The sequence below is a fragment of the Homo sapiens genome, chromosome 22, assembly GCF_000001405.40.
Source record: "Homo sapiens chromosome 22, GRCh38.p14 Primary Assembly".
Taxonomy (NCBI): Eukaryota; Metazoa; Chordata; class Mammalia; order Primates; family Hominidae; genus Homo; species Homo sapiens.
This window is the reverse complement of record NC_000022.11, coordinates 35,626,258-35,646,474: the sequence shown is the minus strand read 5'-3', so window position 1 is coordinate 35,646,474 and position 20,217 is coordinate 35,626,258. Positions and strand designations below refer to the sequence as shown.

Sequence of the window (20,217 nt, the reverse complement as noted above, 5' to 3'; positions counted from 1 at the left end):
TGAGGCCAGCCTGACCAACATGGTGAAACCCTGTCTCTACTAAAAATACAAAAATTAGCTATGTGTGGTGGCGGGCACCTGTAATCCCAGCTACTCGGGAGGCTGAGGCAGGAGAATCGCTTGAACCTGGGAGGTGGAGGTTGCAGTGAGCCGAGATTGTGCCACTGCACTCCAGCCTGGGCGACAGAGCGAGACTCTGTCTCAAAAAAACAAACAAACAAACACACACACACACACACACACACACACATCTTTGGGTAAAGTCTCTCATTTGGGGGTGAATGTTCAGGCAATTTAAGTTCAAATTTTCTATCAGGGCTTTTTATGTTTTCTGAAAAGTTTGCCTCTCATTGAGGCTGCAGTGAGCTGAGATTGCACCACTGCACTCCAGTCTGGGTGACAGAGCAAGACCCTGTCTCAAAAAAAAAAAAAAAAAAAAAGAAAGAAATTTGCATGCCTCGGAGATGGCACCTGGGGGCAGGGGCTTGTGCTGGCCCTCTGGGGTTCCACTGGCCCACAAAGAGGGTCCTTTGTGACCCTTCCAGCAGGCATTGCTGGCTCCTGGACACCTGGGTTCTGGTTTGCCTTGGCACCTCTCTGAGGAGCTGCAGGTTTTCTGTGTTGCAGCCACAACCAACCCACTCTGGGCTCAGGCTGTCTGCCTCCCAGAGAGCTCATCACGCCTCGGCCCAGTGGCCCCTGGCACAGGCAGGGACCATCCGTCCTGGGATGGGGGAAAGGCCTTGAAGCACACTTTGACCCTGAAATTCTTGGATTCTAGAAATTTCTTTTCTTCTCTCTGGCTACAGCATTTAGGGAGAGTTTGAACCTAGGAGGCGGAGGTTGCCTAGAGTTTGAGCAAATGCTGCCCTGAGACTGCAATTTGCCAAATGTAGCAAAAGTTCTATCGTGGCCTCCATTGCTTTGCCTGGAAGCAGTTTCAGGATCCTGGGAGCCCAGGCCAGAGCGAAGCAGGGAAGCAGCCATTACAAGGGGAGAGTGGAGCACTGAACTTGAACCCAGGACCACCAAAAGGGCCAGGCCTCGCATGGCCACACCCTTGTTGCTTGGCGTACAGCAACTAACCCTCACCCACTTCCATCCCATCTCCTTCCCGGGGTTCTTGTGAGGAAGGTTTTTGTTCGTTTGTTTTTTGTTTTGTTTTGTTTTTTTGAGACAGTCTCGCTCTGTCGCCCAGGCTGGAGTGCAGTGGTGCGATCTCGGCTCACTGCAACCTCTGCCTCCTAGGTTCAAGCAATTCTCCTGTCTCAGTCTCCAAGTAGCTGGGATTACAGGCATGTGCTAATACGCCTGGCTAATTTTTGTATTTTCAGTAGAGATGGGGTTTTGCCATGTTGGCCAGGCTGGTCTTGAACTCCTGACCTCAGGTGATTCACCCGCCTTGGCCTCCCAAAGTTCTGGGATTATAGGTGTTAGCTATCATGCCCAGCGGAATGAGTTATCTTGACAATGGTAAAGGTTGATGCACGCACCAGGTGCTCTGGCCATCATTACCATTTTTGTATACACAGGACTCATCTTTTTTTTTTTTTTTTTTTTTTTGAGACAACGTTTCACTCTTGTTGCCCAGGCTGGAGTGCAATGGCACGATATCGGCTCAGTGCAACATCCGCCTCCCTGGTTCAAGCGATTCTCCTGCCTCAGCCTCCTGAGTAGCTGGGATTACAGGCGCCCACCACCACCCCCGGCTATTTTTTTTGTATATTTAGTAGAGACGGGGTTTCACCATGTTGACCAGGCTGGTCTTGAACTTCTGACCTCAGGTGATCCACCCGCCTCGGCCTCCGAAAGTGCTGGGATTACAGGCATGAGTCACCGCGCCCAGCCCCAAGGATTCATCTTTCATGAGAGATCTGAGAGAGCGAGAGAGGGGATGTCTCTTTCTTTCTACCCTGGATTAAAAATGAAGATGTCTGGCATCCTGGGTTGGAGGGATGGGAACTTCCATGTGCAGAATGTTACATGTGGAGCACGTGCTCGGAATATTTCACTCATCATCGCATTTTATCCATATGCTCCTTCTATGAAGCAGGGAGCACAAGCCCAATATATAGCTGCCAAGACTGATGTTCATGGGTCCAAGGACCTCATCCAAGATCACAGTGTCTGACATGACTAGGGTTAGGCGTAGAACCCAAATGTGTCTACCTCCAGTTCTTTGCACTAAAACACATCACAGAAGTCCACATCTCTGCTCTGTGGCTGAATGATCAGTGAGTTTGCAAACTGCTCTCCTTGTGGTAGCCTGGCCAGGGGTGGGGTGGAGGTGGGCAGGGGCTGGAACAGGAGGTACAGGTTGTGCAAGAGGCAAGGTTAGTTGGCATTTTGGTTAGCAGGTTGCAAGTGACACATCATCTTGGAGCAGTGTAAGCAAAAACAAGGAAGCCATTTATCCAGCTTGGTTGTTCTTATACTGCAAGTCACAATTTACAGTGTCATGAAATCAGCTTAGTGGGTCTCAAGAAATAATAAAGGGAAATGAGGTTGGACATGGTGGCTCATGCCTGTAATCCCAGCATTTTAGGAGGCTGAGGCTGGAGGATTGCCTGAGCCTAGGAGTCAGACCAGTTTGGGTAACATGGTGAAACCTTGTCTCCACAAAAAAATGCAAAAATTAGCCGGGTGTGGTGGTGCGCCTATGGTCCTAGAGACTGGTGTGTGTGTTGAGGGGATGGGGGATGGGGGGTGCTGAGGTGGGAGGATCACTTGAGCCCAGGAGGTTGAGCCTGCAGTGAGCTGTGATCGAGATTGTGCCACTGCACTCCAGCCTGGGAGACAGACCATCTCAAAAAAAAAAAAAAAGACAGACAGAAAGAAAGAAAATGAAATGAGATAAAGTAAAAAATATCAGAGTATATCATACATAATAAGGGTATAAGTAGTGTTTCATGGAAATTATGTCCATATAGTGATGATGCACACACTTACGTGTGTGTGTGTGTGTGTGTGTGTGTTATGGATTGCACTGTGAAATGGGTCACAGATAGAATGCTCGAGAGCTACTGACCTGTTCACAGAATCAAAGGAAAACCCAGAAGGTTTCAGGCAGCTCCAGGTTCAGGGACCAGGAGCCCCACTGTAGCTCTCTCGCTGTCTCTCTCTCTCTTTCTCTCTCTCTCTTCCAGCCTCATTCTGTCCCACTACAGGTGGGCTTTTTCCATAACAGAAAGAAGAGAATTTCAAGTCTATTACAATTCATGTCCTTCTAGTTCCTGGATTGGAGATGCAAGAGCATTTTCCCCACCAGATCCAGTAAGAAAATTCTTTGGAAAGGTCTCTCTAGGTTAACCTGTGTTCCATATCCCACTGGTCTCTGTGGCTGGGGTTATTTGGTTCTCTGATCCCTCAGTCCAGGTTACATTACCTCTCCGATAACAAAAGCAGTATTCTAGTATCCAGAAAGTCCTCACTGAGCCATGAGGTTGGAGGGAGGTAAAAAGGGTACCCAATAAAAGGGGTGCTCTTCTGTAGGAGTCAGCTGGCGAATGCCCTCTCTGGGGGAGGGGGTGTCAGGTATTAAAGGGCTGGCTACCTCTGATGTGGCCCAGAGACCCCCGATAGCGTTTTGTGAAGTGGCATGTTCCTGGCAGCTGGTCTTCCAAGGTGGGAGCCTCTGGGTGCCCTGAGTACCCTGGCTTAGCAGCCACTCTGCTCCAGCTAGAAGAATCCATGTTAGGATTTCCTATAACCTCTCTAGGCTTGGGCTTCCCATCACTCCACATGCATCACAGAGAATGGGCCCCTCTGGCAATTGCCCTCCACGACCATCGGGACTCCCTCTTTGCTGGGCTGAAGATGGTGTTATCTCCCCCAGAGGCTTTGTGTCTGTACATAGGGAACTGCTGGACATGCTCCAGGAAGCCTCACTGTGGCCAAGGATGAAAGTCCACAGGCCATCTGAATCTGTGGCTCCAGGAAGCCTTGCTGTGGCCAGGGATGAAAGTCCACCAGGCCACTGAGGAGCAGCAGACCTAGTTCTGCTCCCACTGTGGCTATGGACATGCTGTTTCCCCTGCAAGTGTGGGCAGCTGGGCTCTGGCTGGCTAGCCAGGGATCCCCTGTGACCTCATGATGCTCCAGAAGGGAGTGTCTTCCAGCAGGAGGAGCCTCAGCCTTCAGGAATGAGTGTGGGACAGGGCAGGCTCCCCTTGAAACACCAGGGCCCCTCCCTCTCTAAGCCTCCATTTTCACATCTGCAAAACAAGGGGATCTCCCTGGATAAGTCAAGGTCCTTTTCTTGGCTGTGATCCTATGACCCTTAGAATCTACCATTCTGTGATTCTTGCTGAGATGCTATGATTCAAAGAGTATTTTGCATCTCTGTCGCTTTGTATCCAAGTCTTATTTGCTCCCCAGCCCTGTGGATTGTTTTTTCAGACTGCCCCTTGCATCCCAAGAAGGCCAATCACAAAAAATATACATTGGTTTTGACACAGGATTTTTTCTTGGTCACTTTGCAAGCCGGGGACCTCTGGCCGGCAATGCCCCACCTGGGCCTCTCTTGGCCATGCTACCTGCTGCATGAGATGGCCTGCTCAGTCGGCCCACCGTGGTTGAGTCTGGCTTGTGTACCAGTTCCCGAGTTCTTGTCCTGCACCCAAGAAGAGTGAGGATACACTGACAATTGAAGAGTGAGCAAGGTGGGGAGTTTTATTGAGTGATGAAACAGCTTTCAGTGGAGAGGTGACACGTGGGTGGCCCCCCTATCCAAAGGCAGGAAAGTTCCTCCACTGTGGCTGAGTCTGGTCTTTTATAGGCTTAGAATGGGGGAGGGGCAGGCTGTAGGTAGTATTAGAAAAGGCAACATTCCACTGCTACAAAGCATTATTCAGAAAGAATCAATCGGGAAAGGGTGGGCAAACAGGAACAGATGTTCTCACTCTGGGTTGAGGGTTTCATCCAGGACCAGAAGTCTGGTCTTTCAGCCTTCAGGCTGTGTTTTGGCTTGAAGGTAGGGTTTCACCAAGGACCTGCCCCATCTGCCTGGTCCTTTGGCTGCCTCCTGTTGCTCTCAGTGTCTTCCCTCACTCTCATCCTGGCCCCCTGCCTTATCTAAGGGACTTAGCTTCAGTGGCAATGAGCTTAAGCTCTCCCACCTCTCTACCCATTGCTAGGTGACATCAGAGCAGGACCTACATCTTTTCTCCTTGGCAGTTAGCACCTAGCACAGTGAACCTTTGTTGACTCCGAGGGACCTAAATTTCACAGCTCATAGTAGGTCTGGTTCAAATATAATGAGTTGGAGAAAATCGCATGCACCAGAATCCCAGAGAGGGTGGGGGCCTGTGGAGGGGTGGGGCTTGGCAGCTAAACTGAGCAGTCCTCCATGAGCAAAGCAGGTAGGACAGAACACAAGCTCCAGTCCTTAGGAGAAGCAGTTTTTGGGGCAAGAGGGCAAACCATAGCATCTGACAATGGAGGAGGTGTGGAGCCGGGAAGAGGCCAAATGGGCCAGAAAGCACTGGCAAGTTGTGGGACCAGGGCAGAAGCCACAAAGCAAATGGGGTTTTATTTGGTTGTTGCTGCCTGGCATCCAGTCAGGATGGTCTCCCTATGGCCCTGGGATGCTGCCAGCTCCTTCTGACTGTGGGCCTGGATACTCTACTGTGGCCCTGAAGAAGGGCTGGTTAGGGTTAGGCTCAAGGCAGTGCCTGGTGACAGCCACATCTGGGCTGCCAGGAGGTCCCACACGTTTCTGCATTTAAGGTGAAGATTATTTTTCTTTAAGTCTCTAAAATTCTTAAAGCTTAGATTCCAAAATCCCATGGGAAAGAAGGCAAGTATTTGACTTGACACAGAACTACTCAAATTCCTATCTTATCTTGTGCTGTGCAGAGCTCAAGGGTTACTGTCTAAGGACAAGGCAAATTTGCAGAGAGGCCAGGAAGTCTTCTGAATTAAGGGGGAAGAAGTCGGCTGGGTGCGGTGGGTCACACCTGTAATCCCAGCACTTTGGGAGGCCAAGGAGGGCAGATCACCTGAGGTCAGGAGTTCGAGACCAGCCTGGCCGACATCGCGAAACCCCGTCTCTACTAAAAATACAAAAATTAGCCGGGGGTGGTGGTGGGCACCTGTAATCCCAGCTACTCAGGAGTCTGAGGCAGGAGAATTGCTTGAACCCGAGAGGCGGAGGTTGCAGTGAGCTGAGATCGTGCCACTGTACTCCAGCCTGGGCGACAGAGTGAGACTCCGTCTCCAAAAAAAAAAAAAAAGAAAAGACAAAAAAAAAAGAGGGAATAAGTCCCCTCGCTCCTTCCCTGTAGATGACCAGAGCAGGAGTCTTGCATCGATGCTGAGATGGACAAGGCTCCTATAGCCCCTACAAGCAGCTTGTCCCCCAAAGATCTGTACCACTGACCTGTGCTCAGAGCGCCATGGAGAGGGGAGCACACATGACAAGAAGGGGCCTAACAGGCATCTGTCCTTGGCGATAGGTGTTATGGGCTAATCTTAGGTTATTTTATTAGGGCAAGAACATACCTCTTTTGTTTCCCATTGCGGACCAGCACTGAATGCAGATGACGACATCAGATGAGCTGATCTCTCCACCTCTTTCTCTTAGAAGTTCTTTTTTTTTTTATTATTATTATACTTTAAGTTTTAGGGTACAGGTGCACAATGTGCAGGTTTGTTACATATGTATACATGTGCCATGTTGGTATGCTGCACCCATTGACTCATCATTTAACATTAGGTATATCTCCTAATGCTATCCCTCCCCACCTCTTAGAAGTTCTTCAAACCAATATTGACATGGTCTGTAGTCATTCCCTAAGGTGTGGACATGAATTCTGATTTGCACAGAAAAGCAAAGCCCTGGGACTGAATGGCGCTGGCGTGATGGCTGGGGAGAAGAGAGAATCTTCTAGCAAGGATAAGCTGAGGGCTGGGAGTCCTATGAACTTGATTACAGAGATGCTTGCCTTTATTTATACCTCAGGCTCATAATGAATGGTGCAATAGCAGTAGCCATCTTTGCTGGTCTTACTATGGGCTCTGCGATCATTGCTATATGTGCTCAGGTTAATCATTTTTTTAAAAAATGTATTTTATTTATTTATTTTTTGAGACAGAGTTTAGCTCTTATTGCCCAGGCTGGAGTGCAATGGTGCAATCTTGGCTCACCGCAACCTCCGCCTCCCGGGTTCAAGCGATTCTCTGGCCTCAGCCTCCCCAGTAGCTGGGATTACAGGCATGCACCACCACTCCTGGCTAATTTTGTATTTTTAGTAGAGACGGCGTTTCTCCATGTTGGTCAGGCTGGTCTTGAACTCCCAACCTCAGGTGATCTGCCCACTTCAGCCTCCCAAAGTGCTGGGATTACAGGTGTGAGCCACTGTGCCCAGCTGGTTAATCCTTTTAATAACTCTAAAAGGTCAGTCTGCCATTGTCCTGTTTTACCGATGAGAGGAGTGAGGCTTGGAGAAGAAAACTGTGCCCAAGACTAAATGTTCAGCAAATGTCGGAGCTGGGGCCTGAGCCCAGGCAGACTGGGTTCCGAGGCCAGAATCCTAACCATACTGCCGTGAAGTCTCTAAGAGCCAAGGATTTAGAGTCAGAATTAATCAGTTTAAATTTTGTGCAGTGTTCTCTTGTTCTCACCAAAGAGAGCAGGAAGCATCTCCCGAGAAGAAAGTGACCCAGAGAGCAGGGGGACCTCAGTCCTCTCACCATTCTCATTGCGTCTGGGGCTGACTCTGGCCTCTGCAGAGCAGTGGACGAGAGCAGCGACTCTGTGATCAGGGTGTGACATGGCCTATTCACCAGAGTGAGGCCTGCACGCCAGCCAGGGCCCCAGGCACCGAGCCATCCGGGAAAGGAAACTCCCTCCCATGATGACATTCCCAGTTACTCTTGAGCACAGACAGTCTCCAGATGTTTTTTTCACTGAACACATTCCCAGAGAGTCTTGGAAACCCGGGGCAGTGCGGGGCTGGAGGCAGAGCACTGGTCCAGCGTCGGGAGAGCAGGGCAGTCCTTCGGCTGCCCAAATGTACCGTGGCTCCTGAGCAAATCCATTCTGCTCTGAGCCTGCGTTTTCCCATTTACAGTGGGTTGAAGAGTGACCCCAAAACGTGATGTCCAAGTCCTAATCCCCTTCACCTGTGAATGTGAGTTTACTTGGAAACAGGGTCTTTGCCGATGTAATTAAGGATCTTGAGATGGAATCATCCCTGATTTAAGAACAAATCCAATGAAAATGTCCTTAAAAGAGACAGAAAAGGAGAGCACACAGAGACACACAGGGAGGAGGGCCATGTGAAGATGGGGGCAGAGCCTGAAATGACGCAGCTGCAAGCCAAGAATTGTCAGCAGCCACCAAACACTAAAGGAGGAATGGAGCACATTCTGTCTCAGAGCCTCCAGCAGGGCCAACCCTGCTATACCTTGATTTCAGGCTTTCGGCCACCACACTTATGAGAGAATAAATCTCTATTGTTCTAAGTCACGAAGCTGTGGTCGTTTGTTACAGCGGCCCTGGTAAACTAATGCACTGTCTCTGAGAGCATTGATGAGGTCAGGAAGCCTCCTGTTGGGTAGAGGAGCAACTAAGAGACTGAACTTGGCCCCCACCCTGAGGCTCACAAGTGAGTGGAGAAGCCAAAGCCTGCACAAGATCACTGCATTTCCAGCTCCAGCTTGACGCACCTTCTGCACCTAAACCCAGGCTTCCCAGGCTGGAGTGGGCTCCCAGTCTCGGGGAGTGGCCTGGCTGCCTTAGGGTGGGGTGGGAGGATGGAAACTCAAACATAGGGAAGGATGAGCCCCTCAGGAACTGCAGGGGACAGAGCAGGGTGGGTGGGATGTCAGCTCTGACAGGGCCACCCCCAGGAAGCTCAGATCTCCCACTGGGACAGGGAGCCAGGGTTAAGATTCCATCTGAGCCAGCATCTTTTCTAGGGACTGCATTGGCTCTGCAGAGGGGCTTCTGGGCTTCAGGGATTTCAGCTCGGGGGGTGCTCTGGTGAGAGCAAGGGCTGCTGAGAGCAAAGCCTAGCCCCATGCAAAGTGCTTTGCAGGACTCAGAGGAGGGGATTAAGAACCCGTGGGAACAAGGAGCCGCACAGACCAGTCAGGTGAGGTTGCAGCAGGGTCATCAGAGCCTCCGTTTCTTCACCTGAAAATGCACATAGCAAACCTTGCCTTACAAGGGCTTTATGAAATGAAATGAGCTGCTGTGTGTAAAGCGATTGCTGTACTGTTTGGCCGAAGCTTTGTTATTGAAAGCATTGCTTTCCTTACAGGCTTGAATTGCACCTGAGTTCCAAAGGAGAAGTTGACATTCTTCCAGAACATATGCCCAGTGTCTTCAACTTGAGATGGAGCTGGGATGCCAAGTCTGCAAATGTGGGTTTTGGGCTTGGACAAGCCTGGGTTTGCATCCCAACTCTGCCCTTTGCTGGGACTGTGGCCCTGGGAAAAATGAGCCTTTCTGAACTTTCCTGATGGCACTCATAAATGGGAGACAGTATCGATGTCAGGCTGTGAGCATGCATGCTGCACATAGTAGGTGTTTAATGATGTTTCTCAATAACAAATGATTTGAAATAAAGGCAGCTGTGTGAAGCACTGATAGTAAATGTGGCCAGGGGCACAGATAGCAGGCAGCTGGGAGGGAGGGAAGAGGGTCTGCTTCTTGAGGGGTGATCAGGGAAACTATATTAGTAGGAATGTTTTTGTTGTTTTTGTTGTTTTGTGTTTTTTTGAGATGGAGTTTCGCTCTTGTTGCCCAGGCTGGAGTGCAATGGTGCGATCTCGGCTCGCTGCAACCTCTGCCTCCTGGGTTCAAGCAATTCTCCTGCCTCAGCTTCCTGAGTAGGTGGGATTACAGGCATGCGCCACACACCTGGCTAATTTTGTATTTTTAGTAGCGATGAGGTTTCTCCATGTTGGTCAGGCTGGTCTCGAACTCCCAACCTCAGGACATCTGCCGGCCTCAGCCTCTCAAAGTGCTGGGATTACAGGCATGAGCCACCATGCCCGGCTGGTAGGAATGTTTTGATTGCAAGTGACAGAAATCACTTTTGGCTCATGGAATGTGACTGTACCTTGAATAAGTAAGACATACTTTTACGTCAGGGCCTTTCTTTATATTTGCTATTCCCTCTGTTGAAATGCTTTCCCCCCACCCCGCAAGGTATTTCTGTAGTTCTCTCCTTTATCTCTTTGAATCTTTATCAAATATTTCCTTTATCTCACTGAATCTTTATCAAATCTTTATCAAATACATTTAAATTAAATTTTAAAGTACATTTTAAGCCAGACGCAGTGGCTCACTCCTGTAATCTTAGCGCTTTGAGAAGTCTGAGGCAGCTGGATTACTTGAACACAGGAATTAAAAATCAGCCTGGGCAACATGGTGAAACCCTGTCTCTATAAAAAATACAAAAATTAGCTGGGCATGGTGGCATGTGCCTGTGGTCCCAGCTACTTGGGAGGCTGGGGTGGGAAAATTGCTGAAGCCCAGGAGGCTGAGGCTGCAGTGAGCAGAGATTGTGCTGCTGAACAATTCAGCCTGGGTGACAGAGTGAGATTCTGTCTCCAATAAATAAATAAAAAGTAAGGGCCGGGTGTGGGGGCTCACGCCTGTAATCCCAGCACTTTGGGAGGTCAAGGCAGGTGGATTACGTGAGGCCAGGAGTTTGAGACCAGCCTGGGAACATGGCAAAACCCCATCTCTACTAAAAATACAAAAATTAGGTGGGGTGGTGCATGCCTGTAGTCCTAGCTAATCAGGAGGCTGAGGCAGGAGAATTGCTTGAACCCAGGATGCAGAGGTTGCAGCGAGCCGAGATCATGCCACTGCACCCCCGCCTGGGCGACAGAGTGAGATTCCATTTTTGAGACAGAGTTTCACTCTGTCTCAAAAAAAAGAATCTCCCACTCTCTGCTCAACATTCTCTATGCTTCTTCTCTACTTTATTGCTTTATTTTTCTCCATAGGATTTATCATCTAACATGCTTTCTATTTTTATTATTTATCTTATTTATTGTGTTTCTATCCATCCCCTCGTACTATTGTGTAAGCTCCATTTGGTTGGATCTTTGACTTTTTTTTTAACTGCTGTATTTTTACTATTTAGGACTGTGCCTTGCACACAGTAGGTGTGGTATTTAACTTTATGTGTCAACTTGACTGGGCTTTGGGATGCCCACATATTTTGTTGGACATTATTTCTGGCTGTGTCTGTGAGGAGGTTTCTGGAAGAGATTAGCATTTGCATTAGTAGACTGAGTAAAGCAGATGGTCTCCACCACGTGAGCAGGTATCATCCAATCACTGAGGACCTGAATCACACAAAAGGGTGGAGGAAGGGGAATTTGCTCTCTGCCTCACTGCCTGAGCTGGAACATTTGTCTTCTGTCCTCAGACTGGGCTTTACCCCATCTACTCCCAGGATACTCAGACCTTCAGACTCTGGCTGAATTATAACACTGACTTTCCTGGGTCTCCAGCTTGCAAATGGCAGGCTATGGAACTTCTCAGCCCACAATCACGTGAGCCATTCCTTATAATAAATCGATCTACCTAACTCTCCTATTGGTTCTGTTTCTCCAGAGATTTCTGATGAATGTAGTAGTCATTCAATAGCTATTTGTTTTGGTTTGTCTTTTTGAGATGGAGTCTCGCTCTGTTGCCCAGGCTGGAGTGCAATGGCATGATCTCGGCTCACTGCAACCTCTGCCTCCCGGGTTTAAGCGATTTCCAGCTAATTTTTGTATTTTTAGTAGAGACGGGGTTTCACCATGTTGGCCAGGCTGCTCTCGAACTCCTGACCTCAAGTGATCCACCCACCTCGCCGTTCCAAAGTGCTAGGATTGCAGGTGTGAGCCACTGCGCCTGGCTTCAATAGCTATTTGTTGAATGAACGAATGATTTAGCAGGAAGGTCCAGAGTGCAGTTGGCTTTAGGTAGAGCTGGGTCCTGTGATTTAGAAAAAATCATCAGGGCTCCATCTTGCTGAACCTCTTGGCTGTCCCCTGTCTCTGTTTGATTTGGTTCTTCAGGCCAGGGGCCACCTGCAATCCCAAACTCACATCCTTGCTACATGGCAACGTCCTTCCAAGAACTCTATCAGAAAAGTCTCAGGGAAGATTCGGCTTTGTCTGGCTTGACCATGTGTCCATCTCTGAACTTCAGTTCAGAAGCAAAGTCACTGTGGTCAAGAGGCAGGGCGAGCCAAATGCAGCAAGTTCCTAATAGGGAAGAAGGGGAGGGTGCTGGTGAAACAGACACAACAAAAGACAACAACAGAGGGCTTCCTGGAGGGCGTGTCCTTTGTGTCAGGGCTTAGAGGGTGGTTAGGATTTGGCCATGATGTCAGAGCTTTCTACAACTGGATCCTGCCCACCTGTCTAGCATCACCATCCATCTCTTACCGCTCTGCACCCTATGATTCAGCCACTCCCTGCCCTGAACCCTGTTCAAGTTTTCACCCTGCTGTGTATGTATTTGTCTTCTTCCCCGTAGCTAGTACTCCCTTCTTCAGCAAACGGAGTGATTCTCCACATCCTTGAAGATCTGGGCGCCACACCCTTAGAGAGACACATCCATGATCCCAGGCACATGCTTACATAAGCACGTCCAGGCACACTGCACACACACACACTCTCACACATACGCACACACACACGCACACACTCTTGCACACACGGGCTCACATGCACACACGTGTGAACACAAGCACACATGCACACACACTAACACACACGCACACACGCACTTACACACGCACACACACTCACACACGCACACACACTGACACACGCACTCACATACATGGACACACGCACACACTGACACACGCACACACTCACATACATGGACACACGCACACACACTTACACATGCACACACGCACACAAACATGCACAGACACATGCACGCACACACACGCACACACGCACCCCCCCACACACACACATGCGCTCTCTCTCTCTCCCTCTCCTCTCATTTCTCCCTTCCTTCCTTCATTATAAACTGAAAAGCAACACTGCCTTTCACCCACCCAGGCAGTGTGTATATTAGCAGAGTAGAAAGAGACCCCTAGTCTCCAAATATCTCCCCCACATGTTGGCTTTGGCACCTGAAATTCAGTCAGTGTTTGTTCCCCTACTATGTGCTGGCCACTATGTTTGCACTGTGGCTGTCATGCCTGATACAGAAGAGGTACTCAATAGGTATCGCTGAGTGAATTCATGAATGAATTACTGCATCCATCAATCAATGAATAAAGACAGTGTTTCCTCCCACAGAGCTATGACAAGGGCCATAGTTAGTATCCTGCCAGGAAGAAGGGGATGGGGCCTGCAGGGAGACGTCTACTTGGAGCTGGGGATCTTGGGGAGCCTCCTTGGAGAAGGTGCCCCGTGGGGAGGCCCTCAGTGCATGGGCTTTGCACAGCTGGGGAGGGTGGAAGCAGATGAGTCCACAGGGCATAATGCCAGAGTGTCAGGGAGTCCAGTCTACAGCAGAATAGGAGTAAAGGGTCCTTCCTCTGGGGCTGAATATCAAGCCTTTCCTGGCCTTTGTTGAAAGAAAATTCCTCAGGTCAGGGGCGGGAGAAGGGTGAATTTCCCTCAGTTACTACTAAGACAAACTGTGAGGAAAAATGATACACAAGACAGTTACTTTTTTTTTTTGAGACCGAGTCTCACTCTGTTGTCCTGACTAGAGTGCAGTGGCACAATCTCAGCTCACCGAAACCTCCGCCTCCACGATTCTCTTGCCTCAGCCTCCCGAGTAGATGAGACTACAGGTGGGCACCACCACGCCTGGCTAATTTTTGTATTTTTAGTAGAGACAGGGTTTCATTATGTTGGCCAGGCTGGTCTCAAACTCCTGACCTCAGGTGATCCGCCCACCTCGGCCTCCCAAAGTGCTGGGATTACAGGTGTGCATCACCAAGGCTGGCTAATTTTTTTTTTTTTTTTTTTTTTTGAGATGGATTTCACTCTTGTCACCCAGCCTGGAGTGCAATGGCGCCATCTCAGCTCACTGCAACCTCTGTCTCCTGGGTTCAAGTGATTCTCCTGCCTCACCCTCCTGAGTGGCTGGGACTACAGGTGCCGCCACCACGCCCAGTTAATTTTTTGTATTTTTAGTAGAGACGGGCTGTCTCTACTTTAGTTGGCTGGGCTGGTCTCGAACTCCTGACCTCAGGTGATCCACCCGCCTTGGCTTCCCAAAGTGCTGGGATTAACGGTATGAGCCACCGTGACTGGCCCACCCCCAACTAATTTTTATATTTTTAGTAGAGACAGGGTTTCATCATGTTGGCCAGGCTGGTCTCGAACACCAAGACAGCTACATTTTGAAAGAGGGACATGTGGAGGGAAAATTCTAGAACACAGGGTGCATTCCTCCCAAGGTAACAGCCAAGCCGAAAGTAGAACAGAATCCTAGGCCCTTGGGGAAGGGGTCCTAAGTGTTTGCATCCTCACAAGTAGCCTGCTTTACAGTTTACAAAGCACTTTTCCATCCATTATTCACCTGTCCTGGGTGGAAGGCATTTCCTTTATTCAGCAATTATTACCAAGTACCTCCTAGTTAAGATGGTCATGAGGACTAAATGAGCCACTGCTTATAAAGGACTCAAAGCTACTGGACCCAGACAGGCCAGTGGTATGTGCTTAGGGTGTGGCGCCCCAAGTGGTGGTGGTGAGGCTGGCATTGTCATGAACTTGGCCCTGAACTGAGCAATGGCAACGCAAGATAGATACAGTACCTGCCCTCGCCGGCCTCACAGCTCTTATTCACTCATCATGTAACAGGTAAAATTTTAAATCATTTCAACGCAGATGTTTTAAAAATGTGTTTTCTTTATTATCTATAATTGAGACCAATAGCCCATGTGTATTGAGTGCTTACTCCGTACGAGGTATAGTTTTAAGTATTATAAGTAGTTCAGATTTCACAACACCCTCTGAGGCAGGTTCTAATTACTGCTATTTGACAGATGGAGAAAGGAGGAACGGAGGGATTAAGTAACTTTCTCAAGGTCACACAGCAAGCAGTGAAACCAGGATTCAAATGCAGGTAGTCTAGCTCCGGAATCCACACCCTTGACCACTGTAAGACACTGCCTCTTGTTTTTAAGCTTCTCTCACTGCAGCGTGTCAGGGGGCAACTTAGATGAGCCAACAATGGCATCTTAGTCTTCCTGGTATATACTCAGTATTTCAGTTTCCTCCTTTGGCTACCTCCACACCTACTCCTCTCCAACATGGTGCTGGATAGATGGGAGGAGAGCAAAGGCGGGAAGATGGGCCCTTGGACAGGTGTGCAGATGCTGGGGCGTCCCCAGGTCCCTGCTCTCTGCTCCAGGATGACTGTTTTGTTCTGGGGACCTGGACGCCTGCTGAGGTGTACCTGGTCCACCGGGCCTTCTGTGGTCTTGTGCTGTCAAGTTCATGGCCAGGACCTTTTGCGTCTACGTGCTGAATCTTTGGGCTCAGAGCTCTTTTGTCTCAATTCCCAGTTTTCCAGGGACCACCAGCCACCTCCACAACTCCACCTCCCCTCAGCGGAGCACCCGGGAATGTCAGACCCTGCACGATACCCTCAATCCACGGGGAACCAGCAGGAAAAGCTCAGGCTTCTCTGCTTAGATACACTGTCTCCCTTCTCTCTTTCTTCCCTTAATGATAGGATCCCCAAGTTTTAGCTGTGCCATGGCCACATAGTTAAAGAGGCTTCCCAGCCTCCCTTGCAGCCGGCTTTACCATGTGACCACATTCCAGCCAGTGAGGACTGAGCTGAGTGTGGGCCTTCCCTTAGGAGGGGATGTGCCCTCCCTTCCCAGTCCTCCTTGCTGGCTGGGGCTGGAATGTGGATGTGTGGGTCGGGGCTGAGCAATGCCACAGGAAGAACCAGGGCTGCTTGGTGGAGCAGCCCCACAAGGCTTTTAAGCCTGGGACTGTTCCTTGAGAGAGAAAGACATTTATGTGTACTTGAACTTACCATTATTAGCCTTCAGAAGAGCTCCCCAAACTGTGTCGTATCCAGTTCTGTCCCAGGCCATCTTAGTGCTCGCACATCATGGGGGCAGGGTGGAGTGGGACTCCTTCTCCTCCTCCTCCTCCTCCCCTCCTCCTCCCCTCCTCCTCCTCCCCCCCTCCTCTTCTCCTTCCCCTCCGCCTCCTTCCCTCCTCCCCTGTTCCTCCTTCTCCCCTCTTCCTCCTCCTCCTCCCCTCTTCCTCCTCCTCTCCTCTCCCTCCTCTGCTCCCCCATCTCCAAACTAAGAAGGCCAAAGATCCCCCAGCGAGGCAAATCCCAGCTACCACATAAGCCACACAACTGTCTTTTGGCTTCCCCTGCGGGGTCGTGGTGACTAATTTTAACTGACCCTGATGATTCATCCAGGATGCCTGGGAACCCCCACCCCACCCCACAACCACAGCCACTCCTCAGGGCCTGCTGAGAGCCGCCAACATTCTTCAAGTTCAAAATCATTCCCCATGCCCTCCAAGCCTACATTCCAACTGCCTCCGTGACCCATCCTCTTCACAAAACTTCTGACCCAGCCAAACTGGTCTTCTCTGGGTTTTCTGAACATTCCACGTGCATTCCTGCTTCTCTAACTTTGCTCTTACCACCTTTCATGCCTCTATTGTGCCATCAACCCTCTCCCCAGCCCCTGGAACCTGCCCCAGCGCCTGTGTATTTGATCAGTGGTGATACAGCACTCACTTGAAAAAGTATTGAGCACCTATTATGTGCTGTGTGGAATATTAGGGTGCATTCTTTATATAAATATTTTATTCCCAGCTTCCCTTTCTCATCTTTCCACTAGATTATTATTATTATCTTGGGCCATGACTGGGCAGGCAATGCCGTACAGTCACCAAACCCTGTTTCATTTCCTCCTGGGCACACAGAGAGACCTCATTCCCACAACTCCCTCCAAGTAAGCGGTGCCTGTGGCTGTGATCTGGCTGATGGAATTTGGGCAGAAGCAATGAGCACCACTTTCAGGCATACCCCCTAAAACCCCTTACAAGATCCTCCACCCTTTTTTTTTTTTTTTTTTTGGGAGATGGAGTTTCACTCTTGTTGCCCAGGCTGGAGTACAGCGGCGTGACCTCGGCTCACTGCAACCTCCGCCTCCCGAGTTCAGGTGATTCTCCTGCCTCAGCCTCCCGAGTAGCTGGGATTACAGGCGCCCACCATGATGTCAGGCTTATTTTTGTATTTGTAGTAGAGACAGGATTTCACCATGTTGGCCAGGTTGGTCTCGAACTCCTGGCTTCCAGTGATCCACCCACCTCTGCCTCCCAAAGTGCTGAGATTTCAGGCGTGAGCCACCTTGCCCAGCCCACCCTCATTTCTTTCTCCAGCGGTTTGCCTGCTGGATGCAGAGGGATGGGGGTTTTGGAAGTCCTTGGGGAGGGAGCCTGAGTGCCTGAATCACTGGGTGCAGGAGAGCCCTCTTCTCAGCTTACATTGGACTGGGAGATAAATGAGAACGAAATCTTTTGAGCCATGGCTAAGGACACATCATGAGATTTGGGGGCTGTTTGTTACAGCAGCTAGTATGCTAACACACCAGTGTAGGCAGCCATATTTGTATTTCTGCCCTCACCCAAGCCTGGTACATAAGAAGCCCTTAGTAGTCCTCCTCATCTCCCATGAGGCTTTCTTCTCATCCACCCTTCAAATGCAGGCCTGACCCTGTCGTCCCCTCTAGGAAGTTTTCTTCCCCACCTCCTCTTCTTCTTCCCAATTCTGAAATGCTGCTGACCCCCGCAAGGGTCCTTCTCTTCCTCCCTCACATCCTCCCCAGGTGACGTCTGCTGCCTCCTCTACGCTGGCACTTCCTATAGCTTAGACTGTAACCCTCAGCCCGATGGGGTAAACTGAGGCTTCTCCAAATTGCCAGATAAATTCAGGATGTTTTGTGATGCAACTCTGGAAGGGGAACCCAATCCTGTGTTAGCAGAATAAGGATGGGGCATTGATTCCCAAGAAATGAGTCCAACTCACGCTAATGGGAAGAATAGCAATATCTCCTGAGGACCAAATGGGCTTTTTTTTTTCTTTTTTCTTTCTTTTTTTTTTTTTTTTTTTTTTTTTTGAGACAGAGTCTTGCTTTCTTGCCCAGGCTGGAGTGCAGTGGTGTGATCTTGGCTCACTGCAACCTCCGCCTTCCAGGTTCAAGCAATTCTCCTGCCTCAGCCTCCCAAGTAGCTGAGACTACAGGCACCCGCCACCACACCCGGCTAATTTTTTTTTTTTTTTTTTTTGTATTTTTAGTAGAGATGGGTTTTCACTGTGTTAGCCAGGATGGTTTCAATCTCCTGACCTCGTGATCCACCCGCCTCGGCCTCCCAAAGTGCTGGGATTACAGGCATGAACCACAAATGGGCTTTTAAGGAAGAAATGGCTCTGCTGTGGGTTGTGTTTGATTTGAGAGAGACCAGAGAAAACCTAATTGCAGCCCAGGGTGACCGTGGTTTCATTTTCCCTCTCTGCTTCTCCTGCCCCCTCCCTGGGGGGCCCTCCCTGGAGCAGAGCTGACTCTGACGCCTCCTTCCTGGGGGAGCTGGGGTTTGATTGTTTTTCAAGGGAATGGTGGGAGGTGTTGGGACAGGGATGGGCGGTGCCTGGGGAGAGAGAATGTGTGTGGCTGCAGAATGCTGGGGAGGGAACAAGGAAGGAGAGGACCTGGCCTGGAGACTGCCCAGACGGGCGCCTGAGCTCCCCAGCTTCCCCTAAGGAGTAAGGTCTCCTTTCCCATGTCCTGCCACCCAGAAGTAACCACACCCATGCCCTCTCTACGCCCCTTGTGCAGCCTTCAGGGTAGACCGAGGAGAGCACCTCCCCTTCCTGGTGAAGGGAGCCCGATACACGCTGGTGCCGGCTGGCCAAGAAGGAGGTGGACAAACCTGGCGACCGCTCCCTGGCACCACCTCACCAGAGGACAGCTCACACCTCCACAGGGGTCAGAAGAAAGGAGCTGCCCTGGGGATGGCTGTGTATCCCTACAACTGCCAGGCACATGCCCCTTGAACACCCGATGCTACGTGTCCCAAAGGAAACTGGTCTCCACCCACCCCCGGCCCGTCCTCGTCCTGGGTACCCCACCTTAGTAAATGGCGCCACCATCTGCCCGGTCACTCAGCGAGAAACTCAACTCCTGGCAGCAGATGACGGGCACTCTGGTTAAATGACTCTCTCCAGCCTCCAAGTTCAACCTGCAGGGAAGCCCTGGAAATCCTGTCTCCCTCTGCCCTGCCTCTCCTTCAGCTCCGAACCCCACCCCACTCAGTACATGGCCCCCCAACAGGCTTTCAAATGTCTGCCTTCCCCAAACCAATCTGTGGTTTTAAAAGAAGTAAGGTCAGGTACAGTAGCTCATGCCTGTAATCCCAGCACTTTGGGAGGCCGAGGCAGGCGGATCACCTGAGGTCAGGAGTTTGAGACCAGTCTGGCCAACATGGCGAAACCCCGTCTCTACTAAAAATAAAAATAAAAAATTAGCCTGGGTGTGGCGGTATGTGTCTGTAGTCCCAGCTACTCCGGAGGCTGAGGTAGGAGAATTGCTTGAACCCGGGAGGCAGAGGTTGCAGTGAGCCAAGATCACACCACTGTACTCCAGCCTGGGTGACAGATTGAGACTCCGCCTCAAAAAAAAAAAATCAGGACAGTGGTTGTCTCTGGCAGGTGAGGGGGCCAGGATTGACTGGGGAGGGGCGTGCAGGAACTTTGGGTGATGACAATGTTCTCTAACTTAATACAGTTTGAGCTACACAAGTGAGTGTAGTTGTCAAATCTCAGCAAATGTATATTTAAGACATGTGCAATTAAATGTAAATTTTACATCTTACAGCAAAACAGAAAATGCAAAGAAATTTTGAACTCTTGTTCATGTCATGTATTGTGGAGTTTCTGCAGGGAATCAGATAGATGTCTGCAATTTAAAATGCCACAAAACAAGAAGAATGGATGGGTGCGTAGAGGGAGAGAGAAGCATGATTAAATTCATTTAGTAAAATGCCAGTGGTAGAGTTTAGGTGGTTTTCAGTGTGAGATTCTTCCCACTTTGCTGCATGTATGAAAATTTTTATAATAAAATGTTAGGGAGAAATGCCTCCTGGCTCCAGACGTGTCCCCTCCATTATGTTAATCACATCTGCAATTAGTGTGATGTTTCTAGGACAGCAAATCAGACCATGGCTCTCCCTTGCTCGGAA

The 20,217-nt window shown here is 49.9% G+C and overlaps 1 long non-coding RNA gene across 6 annotated transcripts, besides 3 other annotated features; it reads left to right on the top strand.

Moving 5' to 3' along the window:
- Nucleotides 7,372-7,871: an enhancer, noted in NCBI's record as "H3K4me1 hESC enhancer chr22:36034651-36035150 (GRCh37/hg19 assembly coordinates)". NCBI's record gives its function as "activates a minimal SCP1, AML or CMV promoter by ChIP-STARR-seq in naive H9 embryonic stem cells {active_cell/tissue: H9 hESC(naive)}" and the evidence as "EXISTENCE:reporter gene assay evidence [ECO:0000049][PMID:30033119]".
- Nucleotides 7,872-8,373: an enhancer, noted in NCBI's record as "H3K4me1 hESC enhancer chr22:36034149-36034650 (GRCh37/hg19 assembly coordinates)". NCBI's record gives its function as "activates a minimal SCP1, AML or CMV promoter by ChIP-STARR-seq in naive H9 embryonic stem cells {active_cell/tissue: H9 hESC(naive)}" and the evidence as "EXISTENCE:reporter gene assay evidence [ECO:0000049][PMID:30033119]".
- On the top strand, nucleotides 8,541-18,899 carry LOC284912 (uncharacterized). Of its 6 annotated transcripts, XR_938216.2 has the most exons (6): nucleotides 8,625-9,098; nucleotides 9,267-9,369; nucleotides 11,106-11,288; nucleotides 11,394-11,520; nucleotides 14,982-15,061; nucleotides 18,816-18,899. It is a non-coding gene; the product is annotated as an uncharacterized LOC284912 (long non-coding RNA). The 6 variants fall into 6 exon arrangements; XR_001755513.1 differs by lacking the exon at nucleotides 11,106-11,288; XR_938218.2 differs by lacking the exons at nucleotides 14,982-15,061; nucleotides 18,816-18,899 and adding an exon at nucleotides 12,494-12,569.
- Nucleotides 12,188-12,317: an enhancer, noted in NCBI's record as "active region_18911". NCBI's record gives its function as "activates an Ori minimal core promoter by ATAC-STARR-seq in GM12878 lymphoblastoid cells {active_cell/tissue: GM12878}" and the evidence as "EXISTENCE:reporter gene assay evidence [ECO:0000049][PMID:35858748]".